Source organism: Homo sapiens, chromosome 3, assembly GCF_000001405.40.
Source record: "Homo sapiens chromosome 3, GRCh38.p14 Primary Assembly".
NCBI classification, from domain to species: Eukaryota; Metazoa; Chordata; class Mammalia; order Primates; family Hominidae; genus Homo; species Homo sapiens.
In genome coordinates this window covers 73,677,823-73,698,631 of record NC_000003.12, presented here as the reverse complement: position 1 = coordinate 73,698,631, position 20,809 = coordinate 73,677,823, and the positions used below count along the sequence as shown (strand labels likewise).

General features: G+C 39.0%; 1 long non-coding RNA gene across 2 annotated transcripts in view; it reads left to right on the top strand.

Moving 5' to 3' along the window:
• LOC105377164 (uncharacterized) overlaps positions 1–20,372 on the top strand; it is a 28,764-nt gene extending 8,392 nt beyond the window's left edge. The window contains exons 2-3 of one of the 2 annotated variants that reach the window (XR_001740755.1): positions 1,301–1,412; positions 20,207–20,372. This is a non-coding gene — a long non-coding RNA (uncharacterized LOC105377164). Of the gene's footprint in view, positions 1–1,300; positions 1,413–4,521; positions 4,749–20,206 lie in introns of those variants that run through there. The other variant, XR_940966.1, reaches the window with a different exon arrangement.
• The last annotated feature ends 437 nt before the right edge of the window (positions 20,373–20,809 follow it).

Here is a 20,809-nt window from a genome sequence, read left to right as displayed (position 1 = left end):
CCCACTCTTCTCATCCCCTGACCACCACCATTCTACTTTCTGTCTCTATGAATGTGACTACTCTAAGTACTTACATAAAGGAATCACACAATGTGTATTCTCTTTTGACTGACTTATTTCACTTAGCGTAATATATTCAAAGTTCATTCTAGTTGTGGCATATGTGATTTTTTTTGTTTTTAAGGCAGAATAATATTCCATTGTACATATATACCACATTTGACTTATCCATTTGCCCATCAATGGACATTTGAGTTGCTTTCACCTGTTGGCTATTGTGAATAAAGCTGCCATGAACATAGGTATAAAAATATCTTTAGTCCCTGATTTTAACTGAGTAGATAGTCAGAAGTAGAATTGGATCAGATGGTTATCCTTTGTGTAACATTTTTATGAACTAACAACTGTTTTCTACAAAAGGTGCACTATTTTACATTCCGACCAAGAGTGCACAATGATTCCAGTTTCTCCAAATCCTTGCCAACACTTATCACTTTCTGTTGTTTTGGTAGTAGCCATCCTAACAGGTATAAGGTGTGAGGGATTATTTTCATTTTGTAACTGAGGCATAGAGAGGTAAAAATAAAACCTGCCCAGGGTCAGATTGCTATTAACTGTTAGAGAACTGGGACTCAAACCCCAGGTAATGGAGTTCCAGAGTCCATGCTGTTCTCTACTGACCTTTTAAAAATAAGATAAGCTACCATTTATTGAGCACTTACCATGTGCCAGGCACTGCATTTTACATTAATTATTTAATCCACACAACTGGCCTGTGAGACAGTTCTTATAATTGCATCTACTTTTCTAATGAGGAAGATAGAAATTAAGTACAGTTATTCCTTGGTATCTGTGGGGAGATTGGTACCAGGCCTCCTACCAATACCTAAATCTGTGGATGCTTAAATTCCTGATATAAAATGGTATAGTATGTGCACATCCTCCTGTATACTTTAAATCATCTCTAGATTATAACAATACAATGTAAATGCTATGCAAACAGTTGTTATAATGTATTTTTATTTGTAATTTTTAATTGTGGGTTTTTAAAAACATATTTTTATTTTTTGATCTAGTGATGGAATCCACACATACAGAACCTGCAGATATGAAGGGTGAACTATATTTTCCACAGTTACTGAGCTAGTTAATAACAGAGCTGGAATTTGAATCCAGATCTCTGAATCCAGGGCTGGGGTAATTAGTCTCTCTCCTATACTGAGTTTTAGATAAATCATTATCCTATTAAATTCTTTATCTTTCTGTGTGTCCTCAGTGGAGATATTTTTCCCCCCTATAGCTAATCAGCTTCCTTCAAATTGGATTTCGTAGTGATATGGATCTGTTCACAGTCTTATGGAGGCTGATGCTGGCATTTGAATGCAGTTCCTCGAGGCTTTCCGATGAGCTAAGTAAGTTGAAACATGTACACCTGATGTAACATTCCTTCCCAGGTAGAGTAAGTTGGCAGGATTCAACATTTCACACGGGCTATGACTCTCAAAAGAGCCTCTCATTTACCACTAGTCCTTCCCAGTTACCTTGTTGTTTTCCTTAAGATACTTTCCTCCAATAGGTAATGCTAAAAAGAAAAATTTCTCGCGGCCTCTCCTGATAACTGTTTCCTCAAACCTATTATAATGTCTTTGGAGCAGACAAGCAAATTTTGCCATCTTCACTCTTGGGCATGACCCAAATACCAATGTCTCAGTGTCCTTCATAAACTCTGTTAGGTCTTCCCAACTATGTATAAATTGGCTTTGTCAAACATGAGTCCCCAAGGAAGTGGGAAATGCTATTCAATGTAATGGGATGTAAGCACAGGAGAGTGGTTGCTGGAATCATTTAGACATGGTTATGAGTGGTTATGAGTATGGACTTTGGAGATGAGTGGTTATGAGTATAGACTTGGGAGCTCACCCAATTTAGCTTCAAATTTCTACTCAACTGTATCATAGATGCTTTCCTTTGGGCAAGCTATTTTACCTCATCGAGGCTCAGTTTCCCCATCTGTAAAGTTTGAATTTAAAAAGTATCTGTGTCATAGGGTTTTAAAAGGACCAAATAAGATCATATTCATCAAAATAATAGCATGGTATTTGGCACACACTAACATCTCCATACATGTTAACTGTTCTATTAAATCACAATTAGATGACAGCATTCCAAGAGTGAAGACTATTGTCCTGTCTATCATGGAGCCTTACACTTAATAGGTGATCAAGAATTTTTTTAGATAATGATTGCTCATTATTTTAATGGGATACTCAAGGCATTTTCAACATTGTGACTACCCACTTCAAAATCACAAGTTTCAAAACTAAAGAACAAGAAGCATAAAGGTAAGGAAAATAAGGAGGCTTGGGGAAGCAGGCATGGAAGACAGGCACACACAGGAGTTTCAGAAGTCATCATCTTCTGAGCTCCAGCCTTGCAGATTCCTCATACTTCAGGCCAAAAGCAGTTGGCTAGAGTCTCTGTGTGAAGAGATGGGTTGTTGAGCAAGGATCTGCATGTCTAAACGATTCCAGCATCTTGCCCACCGGAGAAGTTGTCCTGACACTTCTCATCAGCAATTATTCTGCATTTCCACACTTACACATTAAGAAATTTCTTCTCTCTAGGACATCCTATGCCAAATCATCTTGATTTGGACCTTTGAACGCAGTCAGGCCTGGAAGCATTTTGCTTGTAATTGGAATGTTGTAGCATTGTACTAGAAAGCTGGCCCAATGCTTTCATCACTTCTGGAATTTAACTCTATCTCTTTCCTTGTTGTTCTACAATTGAGCTTCCCAGTATAGTAGCCACTATGCACATGTGCCTATCTATTTAAACTTGAATTAACTGGAATTAAATAAAATTTGTATTCTGTTCTTCAGTCTCATTAGCCATATTGCAAGTGCTCAGCAGCCACTTGTGTATTGGTCAGAGCAGATATAGAACATTTCCATCATCATAGAAAATTCTGTTGGGCAGTGTTGCTCTAGGAAATAAGCTTAAGCATCATGGAACAAGTGATTCACATGATAAATAGTGCCATAGCTGGTTAAGGAGCAAGGCAACTGTTAAATGCCCAGACACTGTGGTGGTGCCATAAATTCCTTGACATACCTCCAGTGAAAATGTGGAGTCTAATTCTCCTTCTCTTGAGTATGGGCCAAACTTGGTGAACTTGCTTCTAATGAACAGAATGAGATGACAGTGATGTTATGGGACTTCTGAGGCTATGTCAGAAGAGGCAATAGGGCTTCTGCTTGACTGTCTCTTTTTTAAAATGCTCACCTTTGGAACTCAGCCACCATGTTCTAAGAAAGCCCCTGCCATGTAAAGAGGCCACATGAAGGTGCTCTGGCCAACAGTTCTTACTACAGCTGCAGCTGATAGCCAGCATTAAACTCTAGACCCAAAAGCCTTCTGATGATTCCAGGTTCCAGCCTTTCAGCTACTTGAGCTAATACTGGGTGGAGCAGAGACAAGATGTTCCCACAGCATCCTGTCTTAACTGCAGAACCATGAGCCAAAAAATGTTGTATTAAGCCACTGTATTTAGGATGGTTCATTACACACAAATGGATAACTGAAACATACATATTCTCAAAAAGTGGCACATTTTAATGAAGTATCTTTAGCAAAGTATCTTTAACGAATCTTTAATGAAGTTCAGACCACGATGAAAAGATGTTAGCGGAAACACAAGGGTCCCTCTCTTCAGTACCTAAATGAAACATCAATGGTCAGAACATGAGACAAATAGAAAGAGAAGGAAAATTATTATGTGCTTTTAAAAATGGAAACTTCTCCACCATCCAATTGCAGTAAATCTACTTCTGGCTAGATCCTTTCTCTAGCCCCCTTCTCATATTCTGTGCTTGTTCCCCAAGATGTCAGAATCTCTGATTCAGTGGCATCTCTATGATCCTCTGTAGGGATTATAATCCTACAAGGCTTTATCTTGTATTAAAACATCAAGGCTTTATCTTGATATTTTATTTGCATAGAAGCCTTGATGTTTTTAATAACATTATATTTGACAGTTAAAACAAAATGTCAAAGATTTCTAAAGATGCTTTTTGTTCTTAATTTACCTAAAATTGAGAAAATGTCAATTGTCCATAATAGTTCTCTCAAACTGCTTTAATTTTCATTAGTTTTGGATTTCCACAAGAGTAGACTGAGGTGCAAGTAGCTTATTGTGAGGGTGTTGGATAGATAAACACAGAGAATGAGTAAGACAAAATACAAGGATGCATTGTCAAGTTGTCACTACTGGGGGAGACTGGATACTTAACCCCATGGGACTGTCAGAAAAGTTTGATCTACCCTAGAGGAATAAAGGAGGAACCATTTATCTGTTGGCTTCCATTTCTCATGGATCAATTGTTGATTTGACTATGCCATGTGAGTGCCAAATGGGTTCCCAAGGGCATCTCATACCATGACATGAGAAAAATCTAAAGCAGAAAGAAAGAGGGATGCCATGGAAGCCAGAGGTGCAACACAGTCACATTTCTCCTGCAGGAAACTGGATGAAGCATGAGTGGAACCAGTTGTCTTGGACTGGCTGAAATGAGAGGTGAGGATAAAGGAACATCAGAAGCTTTGAGATGGTGCATGAGATGTATTTGATACAGTCCACCTCTTGAACAGCTCAGCTATGCTTTTGCCTTCTAAGTTCAAACAATACACAGTCTCCTTCAGCGTGGTAGCCACCACAATCTCTGCAAAGACTTCATGCAAAGGCGTTAATGAACCAGGTTACCATATTACTTACAGCTGGTCCTGAGGCTGTGATTGATATTCAATAAATTTCTCTTTCACCAACCAGTCTAGATGCCTTTGATGGTTAATTTTAGGTATCAACTTGACTGGATTACTTTTAGATGTCAGCTTGACCGGATACCCAGATAACTGGTAAACATTATTTCTGCATATGTCTGCGAGGGTGTTTCCAGTACATGTTCACAAGATTAGCATTTGAAACAGTGGGCTGAGTGGGGGCAGGCACCAGCCAATCAACTGAGGGCCTGGATAGAACAAAAAGGCTGAAGAAAGGAAGATTTATTTTCTTTCTTTTTCGGAGATGGAACACACTTTTTTGCTAGCCCTTGGACATCAAGACTCAAGGTCCTCTGCCCTTTGGCCTTCAAGACTTGCACCAGCAGCCCTGCAGGTTATCAAGCCTTCAGAATTTTAATTTATGAGCAGCCATCTGAGTGGAAATGAACAGCCAAAGGAATTGCTTTGAAGCCACAGATCATAGTAAACACACTGTATTCTCTTAGTTTGCTTATTTGGAATGACTGTCAGCATGGTGAAGAGGCATAAATATCACCCTTTGGCACCTGGGTGCCATTCACATTCAAGTGTACTCTTCAGGTAGGAAAGTAAATGGATGTATTTTAGAACAATTTTCCACACTAAGGATTGTAATAGGAACCCATCATAGCAGATTACTTTTTGTCTCCTGTGTTCCATCAGCTAGGCTTGCCTCCTGTTGCAGTCACAGTCCCACCCACCTCATGCTGACAGTTGGCACTCCCACAAGTGCATACCCTACACCTTACATTCTGCCTCAGTACCTTTTCTGGGACTTCTAGAAGCTACTGGACCCAGAGCAAGCCCAGCTCCTGAGGGTGAGGAAGTTAATTCCCAGGGGCAACCCTCATCTCAAAGGGGTTGGGGTGGATGAATACCCCAGCCTCCCATCTTTGGGGTAGACAATTCTGGAAAGCATTCCACACACTTCTCAGATGTCCAGCAGAATCAAGCCACCATTTCCCAGAGCGGCAGTCTCAGTATTGGCTTTTGTTCCTTCCCTGTTCTATCCTTCTTATTCCCTCACTCTCAGTTCTTGGGATCAGCTCCCATATAAAAAATATAAAGCAGACTTCAGAAAAAGAAAACTATCAGAGATAAATAGGGGCATTTCATGATGACAAAGAGCTCAATTCTCTAAGAAGACATAACAATCCTAAATGTGTACGCACCTGACAAGGGAATGTCAAATACACGAGGTAAAAACTGATAGAACTCCAAAAAGAAATAGATGAATCCACTATTATAGCTGGAGATTTAAACCCCCTCTTTCAGTAATTGATAGACCAAGCAGACAGATAATTTATAAGATATAGTTGACCTGACTAGCACTATCAATCACTTCAATCTAATTTATGCTTATAGAATACTTCACCCAACAACAGCAGAATACACATTTTTCTCAAGCTTACATGGAACATTCACCAAGAGAGACCACATTCTGGGATATAAAACCATACCTTGATAAGTTTAAGAGGATACAAATCATGCAAAGTATGTTCTCAGACTGCAATAAAATTAGACTAGAAATTAATAAGAGAACAATAGCTGGAAATTTCCCAAATATTTGAAAACTAAGCAACACACTTCTAAATAACACATGGTCAAAAAAGAAGTCTTACATGAAATTTAAAACCATTTTGAACTAAAATGAAAATATAACTTATCAAAATTTGTGAGATGCATTAAAAGCTTAAAGGGAAGTTATGGCATTAAATGCTTATATTGGAAAAGTAGAAAAATCAAAAATGAATAATCTAAGCTTCCATTTTAGAAAACTAGAGAAAAAAGAAAAACTTAAGCTTAAATAAAGCAGGAAAAAATACCATAACAAAAATTAGGGCAGAAATCAATGAAATTGAAAACAGGAAAACAAAGGGAAAATCAACAAAAGTAAAAGCTGGTTCTTTGGAAATATCTATCAAATTGACAACCCCTGGCTAGACTAACCAAGAGAAAAACAAAGAAGACACAAATTATTACTATCAGAAATAAAAGGCCATCACTACTCCATGAACATTAAAAGTATAATAAAGGAATTATCCTTGTGGCATTTGTGAGCAAACTCTATACACACAGATTTTATTATTTACATAAATGAACCAATTCCTCGAAAGACACAAACGATTAAAACATACATGAGCAGTAACAGATAATCTGAATAGGCCTATGTTTATTATAGTAATTAAATTAATGATTAATAACCTTCCAAAAAGAAAGAACGAAGGCCAGATGGTTTCACCAATGAAATCTATCAACCGTATGAGGAAGAAATAATAACAATTCCCCATAATCTTTTTCAGAAAACTGAAGTGTCAGGGAATACTCTGTTACTCATTCTATGAGGCCAATATTACTTTAATGCCAAAAAAAAAGATAAAGGCATTACAACAAAGTAAAATACAGACCAGTATCCTCCAGGGTCTTCAACAAAATATTAGCAAAAAATATTCACCAAAAAATTAGCTAATAAAATTCAACCATGTATAAATTACACACGGTGAAGTAGGATTTATTCAAGGTATGCAAGGGTGGTTCAACATTCTAAATTCAATCAGTGTAATCCACCACATCTATGGATGAAAGAAGAAAAATTATATGATTATATCAATTGCTGATAAAAATCTTCAGCAAAATAGAACTGGGGGTACTTCCTCAATTAGATAAAGAACATCTACAAAACAAACAAACTACCAGCTGACATCACCCTTAGTGGGGAAAAACGGGTGCTTTCTCCCTGCTCATATTTACACCATACTTGAAGTACCTAGTGTAACAGAATAAAAAGCTAAAATAAAAGGCATACAGTTGGGGAAGAAAGAAACCAAATTGTCTGTAGACAATGTGATTGTCTATGTAGAAAATACCAAATAATTTTTTAAACCCTTCTGTAACAAATAAATGAGTATAGCAAGGTTGCAGGATAAAAAGTTAGTATACAAAGTTCGATTCTTTTTTTTTTTTTTTTTTTTTTGAGACGGAGTCTTGCTCTGTGGCTGAGGCTGGAGTGCAGTGGCGTGATCTCAGCTCACTGCAAGCTCTGCCTCCTGGGTTCATGCCATTCTCCTGCCTCAGCCTCCCAAGTAGCTGGGACTACAGTCACCTGCCACCACGCCCAGCTAATTTTTTGTATTTTTTTAGTAGAGACGGGGTTTCACCATGTTACCCAGCATGGTCTCGATCTCCTGACCACGTGATCGGCCTGCCTCAGCCTCCCAAAGTGCTGGGATTATAGGTGTGAGCCACCATGCCCGGCCAGTCGACTGTTTTTCTATATACCAGCAATGAACCATTGAAATTTGATTTTTTTGATTGCCATTTACGGTAGTATCAAAAAAAAGCATAGATATAAATATTTTAAAATGTAAAAGATCTATATGTGAAAAAGAACAAAACTCTGATATAAAAAATAATAGAACATGTAAATAAATAGAGAAATATTCTGTATTCATGGATTGGAAAATTCTATTTATCCCAATTTGATCTAGAATTCAGAATTCAACAAAACCCCAACCAAGAGCCCAGCAAGCTATTTTGGTGATATTGACAAACTGATTCATACATACATAAAATGCACATTCTAATATGTATATATTAGAATGCATGTAATACACACACACACATACACACTAAGGCAAAAGGCCTAGATTATCCAATACAATAGTAAGGAGTAAGAACAAAAACAAAATGAAAAAAAAAAAAACACAAAGAAAAAAAAGAAAAAGTTGTAAGACTCATACTACCAAATTTTAAGATTTATAAACAGCGTGGTATTGAGGAAACTATAGACACATAGATCAATGGAACAGAATAGAGAGCCCAGAAATAGACTCATGCAAATGTAGGCAACAGACCCTTGACAAAGAAGCAGCAGCTTTTTTTTTTTTTTTTTTTTTTTTGAGACAGAGGCTGGAGTTCAGTGGCCTGATCTCAGCTCACTACAACTTCCACCTCACCGACTCAACCAATTCCCCTGCTTCAGCCTCCCAAGTAGCTGGAATTACAGGTGTGTGCCACCATGCCCAGCTAATTTTTCTATTTTTAGTAGAGACAGGGTTTCACCATGTTCTGGTCTCAAACACCTGATTTCAAGTAATCTGCCCACCTCAGCCTCCCAAAGTGCTGGGATTACAGGTGAGAGCCACCCAGTCTGGCCAGGAGTAGGGGCATTTCAATGGACAAAAGTTAGTTTTGTCAACAAATAGTCCTGTAACATCTGAACATCTACATTGAAAAAAAAAAATGAATCTAGAGGGAGATGTTATGCCTTTCATAAAAAACTGGATTTTAGACTAAATGTAAAATGCAAAAATATATAGTTTCTAGATAAAAATGTAGGGAAAAATCTAGTAACCATGATTTGGCAATGAGTTTTTGAGCCTAACACCAAAAGCATAATCCATGAATGAAATTTGATGTTAGATTTTATAAAAATTAAACATTTCTGCTCTGTGAGGAACATTATTAAGAAAAATTAAAAGACAAGTAAGAGACTGGGAGAAAATATTTGCAAAACACATTTAAAAGGACTTGTATTTAAAATAAAAGGACTTGTATCTGAAATATATAAAAAACTTTAAAACTCAACAGTAAGGAACCAAGAAACCCATTTTAGAAAGCTCAAAGAGTCTGAACAGACATCACACAAAAGAAGGTGTAAGGGCAAATAGGACACACATGGCAAATGAGCATAGAAAACGATGTTCAATGTCGCATGCTGGATAGGATCCTGGATCAGAAAAAGAACACTGGAGGAAAAAAAAAAAAACTAAGGAAATCTGAATAAAGTATGTAAAGTATAAACTTTAGTAAAATAATAATGCATTAATATTGGTTCATTAATTGAATCAAATGTACCAATACTAACATAAGATTTTAATAATGGGGAAACCAAGTGTGAGGTATATGGAATTTATCTGTGCTAGCTTCAAAAATTTTTTATAAATCTAAAACTGCTTTAAAAATAAAGTTTTGTTTTTGTTTTTGTTTTAAAAAAAAAAAACACCTTTCTTTACCAAGAAAATTGAGGGTAATAAAGTAGAGCACAACATCGTGTTGGTGGGGGGTGGAGGAGTAAGCATGGGACTGGAGACTCAAGACCCCGCTCTATTTGAGCCCTTTTATTAATATAGCTGCATAGCTGCATGACTCAGCTTCTTGGAATTTCAGTCTTCTTCATTTATTATAATAATGGTAGTTAAAATTTTAACAAAAGTCATGAGATCAGGAACCCCAACTATCTTGTTTATCACTATAACCCCGGTGCCCAGAAGAGGTTAGACACATCATAAATATTCAATAATTATTTGTTAAGTAAGGGGATGAATGAGGGAAGGAAGGCAGGAAGTGCTCTCCCACCCATTACTCCAAGTCATGCACTCAATACTACATGAGGTGGGAACTACTGTTCTTCCCCATTTGGCAGCTGGTGCACTCCGGCTGAAAGAAGTTACATTTCTTGCCCACACACAACCAAAAAGCAACACAAACAAGACTCAAAGCAAACGGTCTGACCCCAGACCCCACACACCTAACCTATGCCCCCTGCGCCCTTAACTTCTAGTGTAAGAACAATATGGAAGGAATTTGCCCTTTCAAATATCCCATGCTGCACTGCTTCTGCACCATGATGGAGCCTCATTAGATTGTCTCTAGGGTCCCTTCCATGGTGCCAGTTATAGGACTCAAAAGAACAGAATCTTCTCCCCAAAGACTCTCCCTAGCCTCGCTCTGTTCCTATTTGCCCCCTACCCCATTTATCTCCATTCAAACTTTGCTTGGATTAAATCACCTCATCCATAATTTGCCTTTCTCTGGATGCTGCAGGGGAGACAGAGACAAAGATAAATGCATGACCTCCACATTCATTTGTATGATAGCAGTATCTTGTTCTGACATCCAGAGGTCTGGGCGTACTCCACAGGTTCAAGTGAAAAGAATAAGGTCTGGGCTGGGGGTAGTTGGACAGGAGGCAGAACAGAGACTTTTCCCTTTAAACGCCAGGATGATAAAAAGCAGCTCAACTCAGATAACATCAGAAAACTGCAGCCCAAGTAAGATCCCTGTGTTGGAGTTCCTGGTTTTTGTTGTTGTTGTTTTACCCCTAAGTTCAGACCTAATTGTAAGATAATGACTCTAGAGTAAGATAAAACTCAGGGAAAATGTCAGATTGTGGAGGAGAAAGCTTTTATTCAAATTAAACATCTTTGATGCTAAGAAAAAATATATATAGGGCAGATGTCAACTGCTATTTTATAGCAATCATCTAATTGCTAAATTCCTCCTTAAGCATAGTGCATTTCTTTTTTTTTTTTTTTTTTTTCTTTTTTTGGAAGAAGAAAGAGCAAAGACGAGTTCTTTTCAGCAAGGATTCCAAGCCAGTCATCTCCTGTGTTTTGAAACAAGCTGACATTTTAGTAGAAAATTAGGCTTTCAATATACTGCTCAAGATAAAAGCTTGCATCCTGCACTATGTAGTCCATGAATGCTGTTTGGATTTTTTTTTTTTTAATGCTTTTACAGTTTTTAGAGGATTTGTAAGCACCACACATTTTTTTTCCCTGAGTAATAAAACTGGGGGAGATGTTTGCAAGTCGTAATGTTCCATAAATGGTTCCAAATTTACAGTTGCACTATAAACTATATTAAGTGATCCAAAAGCTAGTTTGTTTCTTTCACCGGTGCTTTCAGAGTCTATAAATTAGACAGTTTAAGCCATGTAAACACCAAGCGAACAGTCACGGAATCACTCTGGGACAAGATGCACACGTTGACTTTTCAGAACATTTTGTGTCCCTCCACTTCCAGGCATTTTCAAATAAATCATTGGTGGAATGGAGTCAACGTCCCCACCTCAAAAGGAACCCAACAGGCAACTGGATTCTGATGTCAGATTCCAACCAACTAACAAAGATGAGAAAGGTGACCCATACGGTGGAGAAGGCTTATCATGTGACAACTGCTTTGTCCTCAAGAGACAACTCTGCCTTTCCATCAGAACCCTTCTTTACACAAGACCCAAGGTTGGCCTTGCAGAAATTGCTAGAGAATAATAATAATAAATATGATTACTGTTATTATTTTGTATTGAAATTGTATAAGGTCCAGGTACTATGTTAAACCCAATACATGAATTATTCATGCTAGCCTCACAACCTTATGAAGATTATTAGATGGGGCAAGTGAGGCTCAGGTTAACTAATGCAACTACCTGGTTCAAAGTAAAACAGCCAAGTCTTTGGGCACCCAAAGCTAAGCCATTGACTTTGGGTTTATAAATGGTTATGTCTCGACAAACATAATTATTTTGAGCCTAAGCAGATAATAAAATGCCTTGAGTCAGGCTTGTGTGCACTGTATCATGCACTATGAATTCAGTTTAGCCAAAAGAAGAGCAGTAATCATAAGGATGAGAAGGAAGAGGTAGCTTCATTACCTTTATTGAGTGATTACTACATGCCAGGTACTGTGCTAGGCACAGTTCATGAAGGTTTTTGTTTTCTCTTATCATAGCCCTCAGAAGTAGACTCCATTAGCTCCTCCATTTTGCAGATGAGAAGCCTGAGGCTTAGACAGGTAAAGTAGATTTCCTAAGTCACATGACTAAGAGTCTGAACTGTGGCTTGAAACCGTATTGAGCTATGAGACGCATTCCCTTTCTACTGCACCAAGCTGTCAATACCATCTTTGCAAAAATGACAGGATTAGAGGCTTAAACATTTATCAGATATATGCTGAAACCCAAGTCCTCTTCCAACTTTTTAATCTGCTGTGCATGATAAAACAGGACCAGAAAGCCCTAGAGGTCAGGCCATACCCTTTGCCATACTGACCTCTCCTCCCCAAGTCACAAAGAGAACTTTCTAAGTCCGAGTCATGGTCACATTTACCCTTTCTGCTGAGAGCCCATTGCCCTGTTTTGTTTATTTGTTTGTTTTTAAAATATCATTGAAAAACACAAATCTCACCTTTCAAATCATGTGTAAATCAAGTCCCCATTTTCCTTTCTTTCTTATCCTGCTACAGTGGACATTTGTTGTTTTTGCCTCTCCATCATCCCTTCCCCTTATTTCTGGTAACAGAAACTTAATTTGCATTTGCAGAATAACCCTCGCCCGCTTCTCAATCCATGTCTCAAAAAATAGAGACATATTCATGACAACTTTATTTTAGCACTTGGATCCATTCTTGTTTGAAATTAATTGCTTAACTTTTCTGCTACATGATCCAGTAAATTCCCCTTTTTGCTTAAGCCAGTTTTGTATGGGTTTTGCCCTTTATAAGCAACAGAGTCCTGAGCCTTCCCAAGCCACAGCTTTAAGCCTAAGTCACAATTACAACTGAAAGATTGAAATTGTTCTTCATGTCTACCTCCACCCTTTCCTGCAGTGTCCTCCGCAGTACTTCCAAGCACTTAGCACTAGAGTGCACATTTCTCATAAAAGGGGAACACATTCATTGGGTTCAGCAGACTTCCTGAAACACCTTAGATACAGACAGCACACTCTCCAATTAGCAACGTAAAGACCACACCATCATCATTGCTTTCTGCTTCCTGGTGTTGGTAACTAGATCCCTTGCAGCTGTCTGCACCCCTGAATCCTCCTATTGTTTTGGGGATTAAGGGCTGGAGTATGAAGTGTGTTCAGAGGTTGACAGCCATGATTATTATGAGTGCTCAAATGTTGGAAGGGCTCCCAAGGAAGGGCGTGGAAAAGTACGCCTATGTGTACCTTTATTATGCAAAACAAAAACTAACAGATAAAAGCCATGAAAAGCAGCTTGACTTTTCTGATAAATACAGCTTTGGGCAATTATATTTTTAATAAACTCCTCCAGATGATTTTGCAGGACACCTGAAGTCGGGAGTTCGAGACCAGCCTGACCAGCATGGAGAAACCCCATCTCTAACTAAAAATACAAAATTAGCCAGGCGTGGTGGCGGGCGCCTGTAATCCCAGCTACTCCAGCGGCTGAGACAAGAGAATAGCTTGAACTCGGGAGGTGGAGATTGCAGTGAGCCGAGATTGCGCCATTGCACTCCAGCCTGGGCAACAAGAGTGAAACTCCGTCTCAAAAAAGAAAAAAAAAAGAAAATCACAGCAAAGTTTAATATTCAATGATTGACTATATGAGGAAGGGACTCATGTGAAACTTAATGCTTGAGTTGATCAATATTAAGGTATATTATGAAATCTGGAATACCACCTCTATGCTAATGACTCCCAAGTTCAATACACCGAGGTCGAAAGACTCCTTTAAACTTCAAACTTCTATATCCAGGTGCCTGCTTAATAGGCATCTCAAATAGAATTTTTGATGTTATTATCTGCACTCAGTTGCTGCCAGTCTCCCCCACCTTAGTAAAGAATACCATTATTGACCTATTTGTTCAGGCCAAAAATCTTGGAAGTCGTGCATCTTTGGCTCTTCCCTTTCCCTGACATTCACATCCAACCCAACAGCACATTCTTCCACAGTTGATCCCTTCAAAGTTGATCCCAAATCAGACCATCCCTCATATCCTTCATTACTGCTAATCTCATCCAAAGCACCATCATTTCTTACTGACAGCTGCCTTAGCCTCTTAAGTATCCTCAGGCTTCCTCTCTTGTCTCTTGGAAAAAAATCCTCCACCCAGGAGGCAAAGTGATCTTTTAGAAATGCAAATCAGATTATTTCTTTCCTCTAACCCTTGATTTGCTTTCCATCACACACCCAGTGTGATGGTTAATATTAGGTGTCAAGTTGATTGGATCGAAGGATGGCTGGTAAAGTATTGTTTCTGGGTGTGTCTGTGAGGATGTTGCCAGAGGAGATTAACATTTGAGTCAGTGGATTGGGAGAGGAAGACCCACCCTCAGTGGTGGTGGGCACCGTCCAATCAGCTGCCAGCACAGCAAGAACAAAGCAGGCGGAAGAAGGTGGGATAAGCTGGCTTGCTGAGTCATCTGGCTTTCATCTTTCTCGTGTGCTGAACGCTTCTTGTCCTTGGACATCAGACTGTAGGTTCTTCAGCCTTTGGACTCTTGGACTTATACCAGTGGTTTTCCAGGGGTCCTCAGGCCTTCAGACACAGACTGAAAGCTGTACTGTTGGCTTGCCTACATTTGGACACAGACTGAAAGCTGTACTGTTGGCTTGCCTACATTTGGACTCAAACTGAGCCACTGCTGGCTTCTTCCTTCTTCAGCTTCCACACAGCCTATCGTGGGACTTTGCCTTGTGATCAGGAGAGTTCATTCTCCTTAATAAACTCCCTTTTATATATACGTATATCCTATTAGTTCTTTCCCTCTGGAGAACCCTAATACAGCCAGAATGAAATCCAAAGTCCTTAAGTTGGTCTACACATAAACATATATGGCTTGCCTGCTTCTCTTCCTAACCTCATCACCTACCAGGACATACAGCCAACATCCATCCTCTGCACTAGACATGCAGAGTTCTTATTCTGCCTCTGGAACTTCATTCCTGCCTCAGAGACTTTGCACTTAGTTTTTCTTCTTTCTAGAAATCAACTTCCCGCTTACTCCTGTGGCTGACTACCTCTCTTTCTTCAGAGCTCTGCTCAGTTGTTACTCCATCAGAGAGGAGGTCCCTATCCACCCTATAACACAGCCCCCAGAATCGCCACCTGCTACATACAAATGCTCCACACCGACTCTTACCTTGATTTATTATTCTTCATGGCACATATTCTAGTATGTATTTTTAAGATCTATTTCTCTGTTTCCCTCACTAGAATGCAAGCTCTCTGAAGGCCCAACAATTATTTCATTCACCACTGTGTCTCCCTTGCCTTGCAGGGGCCTTCTCATATCAGGACGCAATAAACATTTGTTGAATTAACTAATTAACAACCAAGTGCCAGCTTCAGCCATAGCAGCCTCAGAGCTCCCATTTTTACCTTCTCCCCATACCTTTGGGAAAACATCACTCACCTGCAGTTTCCCCATAGATAGGGGCATTCATCTTAAAGAGAGAAATAATTAGCACTCAGATATGCTAAGCATCACTCTGGGGCAGGTATTACACCTAGCCCTTTGCCTGCAAGGTCTCATGAATTTCAAGAACAACACTATAAGAAAGTTAATGATAATTGTCCCCATTTTGGTGACAAGGAAACTAGGATATGAAGAGAGGTGCCTTGTTCAAGGCCTAGGATGCAGACAACTCAGAATTGAACCCAAGCCTTCTGACCTCACAGTTGCACCGTTCCTCTTCCTCATCTCCTCTTTATCCTCAACATGCTGAGCAAGTTTCCCAGAATCGTAACAAGCAATAAACAACAACAACAAACAGGCTATTCCCTTTTTTTTTTTTTTAAGCTTTTGATATGTTTCACTGGGTTTTTAATGAAGACATACCAAAAGAAGGTAAACTGTAGGTAGGGAGATGCAGTTATGACACAAGAAAAATGTGACCTTCTTCTAATCCCACCACTGCACCTCTAGGATTATATAGATGACCTCATTTGGCAGTAATAATTTCAGTAATAACTGGAGGCACCTGGCTGCTGGAAGTCCTAGGCTAAAAAGCCCTACTTCCACATGTTTCTCACTTTGCAATAGGCCCTGACAATGATGAAAAGAGCTTAATTGAGAAGTCCATTGCAGCTGGTGGGACCATAGAGGCAAAAGCCAAAACCTGGTGCAGGGATGTCCAATCTTTTGGCCTCCCTGAGCTACACTGGAAGAAGAATTATCTTGAGCCAAACATAAAATACATGAACAGTAATGATGAGCTAAAAAGTAAATAAATCAGAAAAAAAAATCTCATAATGTCTTAAGAAAGTTTACAAAGTTGTGTTGGGTTGTATTAAAGCCGTCTTGGACCGTGGGTTGGACAAGCTTGACCTAGTCGTTGAGTTCAGAATCCCCATCCCCAGGCCTCCTGCATTAGTGTAATGGCACAATCCACATACGGGGGCGTGTGCACCAGGCCAGAAGAATGTGTTCTTCTGAGTTCTCACTTGCTTGGCCACTTAGCTAAGCCCCAATGACCAAAGCTGATTCAGACCTTGGTCACACCCACTTCTTTTTTATTTGGGGAAATGCTAAGAGAACAAATCTCTTAAGATTTGTCTTTATTATGACTCATGCATTTCAGAGTTTTCTCTTGCTTTTCCTTTCTTATTTTCTTTTAAGCTGAAGTTGTCAAAACGGGGGTACTGTCTCAGTGTGCAGGTTGCACACTGCTCAACTCTGGGTAGCACCATTTACAAAGACCACAAAGTGAGACTCAATAGCTCTGGCTAAGGTGCTTTGGTGCCCTTTAAGTTCTGGAGCCTCATTTTTTTCATTTGTAAATAGAAGATAAAACCTAACTTATTCCCTGAAGTCATTTGAGGATGTATTGAAATAATAGAGGTAAACATGATTCATGAATTGCAAAGTTTATTAGAGAGGGCGTGAGAGTGTCTGTGTTGGGGTGGGGTGAGAGGGTTGACTAGCTGCATTTCTATAAGCAGAATTCCATTGTTACAAATGGCTCACTTTATCCCTAGAATGGAGGCTCCCAGCCTACCCTCTACTTACTACATGGGAATGTTTATTCAGAGTACAAACAAATGTAAAGAATTACAATTTTTACACCACCTCCCTCAAAAAATATATGCTAGATAAAATAAAACAAAATAAAACAAAATAAAATAGTGTAGGCTCATTTTTTAAGTGGTTGCTATTTAACCAGATATTTAAAAGGTGAACTCTGAACTCCGAGGTATCCTTGAGCAAGTAGGTCCATGTCCACATAATCTCAATCTAAATTTTTAATCAAGAAGACACCTCTTTCAATCAGATTTTTACAGTGAAATAAATGTTGTTTTCAGGATACATTTGATGAAATGGATATACCAATCAGGAGAAAAGTGAAATAGCCAAGCAAATCAGACATTCCATCTTAGTCCAAGCACGACCAGCCCAGAAGCAACAATAAAGTCCTGCCAGAAAAACTGATGTTATCGCTAGGGAAATAGGAATTTCTTGAGCCATGTTTTGACTCCCCTTATAGAAGAGAGAGCAGTGTGCTGTAGCCAGGAAATAATTATAATACAAAGCTTCGGCCATCTGTGTGATTTTTGAAAATCGAACTGCTCTAAAATTACATGGAGACAATCACATTCTGGGTTGCCTTCACTTCGTATTTTCAATTAGTGAAAGAGTAGACGATTTCAGCTGCTTACAGTTTCTCTGCTCAATAAAAGCAATTCACAGTTACATTATTTTTTTAATTGATCTTCATTCATTAGTGCCAAATGAGAGAAATAATTGGGCTCTAATTACCCTGGCATCTGAGTAAGTGGTAGTATAATTTTCCGTTTGGCTCCAAAGTAGTCTCAGTAATTAAGTCATGTCTCTCCTGCTATCTAATTTAAGAACCTGAAAGAAATGAAAGAGTGAAAAAAAAATTGACAAAAACTTAATCACAAGCCTTATTGATATGCAACTTCTTTCCTATCTGCAGCTTCATTTTGGTTTTAATCAGGACTGGGGCATAATGCCAAATTCAGGGAAGATGGGAGCAAATAGCAAACTACATTAAAAGCATAAGTCTCCTCCATTGCTTATTTGAGATAGAAATCCAATGCTCAAAAACGTTTAATGCTAAGATGGACAGAAAAATAAATACCAACCCACAGCATGCCTGAGTGTTTTTATTTTGATTAACATTAATTTGATTGCAATCCGATCACTTTCGAAACCCAGATAAAGATGTAACATGAATAATTATGATAGTTATTCACTTATATTTATATAACCCCTCATAGTTTTCAAAATTCTTTAACGTACGTTATCTCATAGGAACCAGAGAGGCAGTGTAACTTTGTACTTAAGATGCCAGACCTGGAGTGAGATCCCCTGGGTTCTAATCTGAACTCTACCATTTCCTAGTTTAGTACAACCTTGGGACAAGGAATTCATCTCTCTGTGGCTCATTTTCTTCATCTGTAAGATGGAGATGATACCAGTACCTTTCTCCTATGTATGTAATAATAGGTAACATATATGTAATAATGCTTAGAACATTGACGTATAGTAAGCTTGCCCTAAATGGCAGCAAATGGTTGAGTCTTTCAGAATAATTATAAACCCAAAGTTAAGTAGTGTGGTATAGAACAAGGGTTGGTGGCTGGGTGCGCTGGCTCACACCTATAATTCCAACACTTTGGGAGGCTGAGGTGTGGGAGGATCGTTTGAGGCCAGGAGTTCAAGACTAGCCTGGGCTACCCCTTTGGCAAGACCCTGTTTCTACAAAAAATTTTTTTAAATTAGCTGGGGGCAATAGTGTGCACCTATAGTCCCAGCTACTTGGGAGGCTGTGGCAGGAGGATCCCTTGAGCCCAGGAGTTCGAGGTTGCAGTGAGCTATGGTTGCACCACTGCACTGTGGCCTGGTGGTGACAGAGCAAGACCCTGTCACACACACAAAAAAAAAAAAAAAAAGAGAGAGAGAGAGAACAAAGATTGATAAACTATGTTGCCCATTTTAGCATGGCTTATGAGCTAAGAATGATTTTACTTTTTTTAATGGGTGGGGAAAAAAACCAAAGAATAAGAGTAATTAGTGACATGTGAAAATTATATGAACTTCAAATTCCAGTGTCCACAAATAAGATATTATTAGAACATAGCTGCACCCATCATTTATGTATTGTTTATGGTCACTTTCATGCTACAATGACAGAGCTAAATAGTTGTGACAGAAACCACATGTCCTAAAAAGCCAAAAAGATTTACTATCTGGCCCTTTACAGAAAAAGTTTGCTGACTCTTCGTATAGGTGTTAAAGTAAGTTACAAGAGCAGGACCCTCAAAGTAAACAATTAGGAAAGAAGGGAACAGAAATCATTTTGCATTTTAAGAAAGAAGAAGCTGGGGTAGTACTTTGGAGCCAAACAAACCAGGTTGGAATCCTAACTCCAAACTTAGACTTCTCACCTGGAAAATGGATTATAATAATACTTACAATAATCCTGCATTCGTCACAAGATTGCTTTAAGGACTATACTAAATATATATGAAGCACTGAATATTCAATAACTTTTTAATAAATATTCACTATGTGGTGGACTTAGGCTATGGACATGTACAAAGGTCAAGGTCAAGAATGACAGAATGAGAAAATACAAAATCAAGTTCAGAAACTTCAGTCTGAGAATCAGAGAACCAAGTCAAAGTTCAGGAGAAAGAGGTTAGAGTTAGGAAGGATAGGAAATACACGTCCTCATTATTATAAACTTGGCAAGACTAAGGACAGGGAAACAGAATTCACCTGGATGCTTCTAACAATGTGGCCTCCACCTAACCCCTGCAGCGCTTTCCCCACCTGAGTGTGACATGTACTTGTGGTTTCAGCTGTTTCTATTATCCATATTTATCCCCAAGGGTGTAGCCAAGATGAGAAGTATGTACGCAGGAGTGAAAGAAGTTGATGTGTTCTACTGGGGATCTGTCGGGTTTGAGGAGCCAATGGGACAGTCAAGTATACATGAACAACAGACAACTGGAAGTGAGGAATTGAGACACAGCTACAGCCAGAATCCACTGGGGGAGTAGCGTTCATTAAGGTCCTCAAAGATGAGATCAAAAAGAACACATAGGTAAGGAAGATGAGGAAGCCAAGATCAGAACTGGTACAGATGTTGGCCAGGTGCCATGGCTCACGCCTGTGATCCTAGCACTTTGGGAGGCCAAGGTGGGTGGATCACCTTAGGTCAGGAGTTCAAGACCAGCCTAGCCAACAAGCCAAAACCGCGTCTCTACTAAAAATACAAAAATTAGACAGGCGTGGTGGCAGGCGCCTATAATCCCCGCTACTCAGGAGACTGAGGCAGGAGAATTAGCTTGAACCTGGGTGGGTGGAGGTTGCAGTGAACCACAATTACAGAGAAAGAGCAAAACTCCATCTCAAAAAAAAAAAAAAAAAAAAAAAAGAACCAGTACAGATGTAGTTGGCCAGATAGTAAATCTTTTTGGCTTTTCAGGACA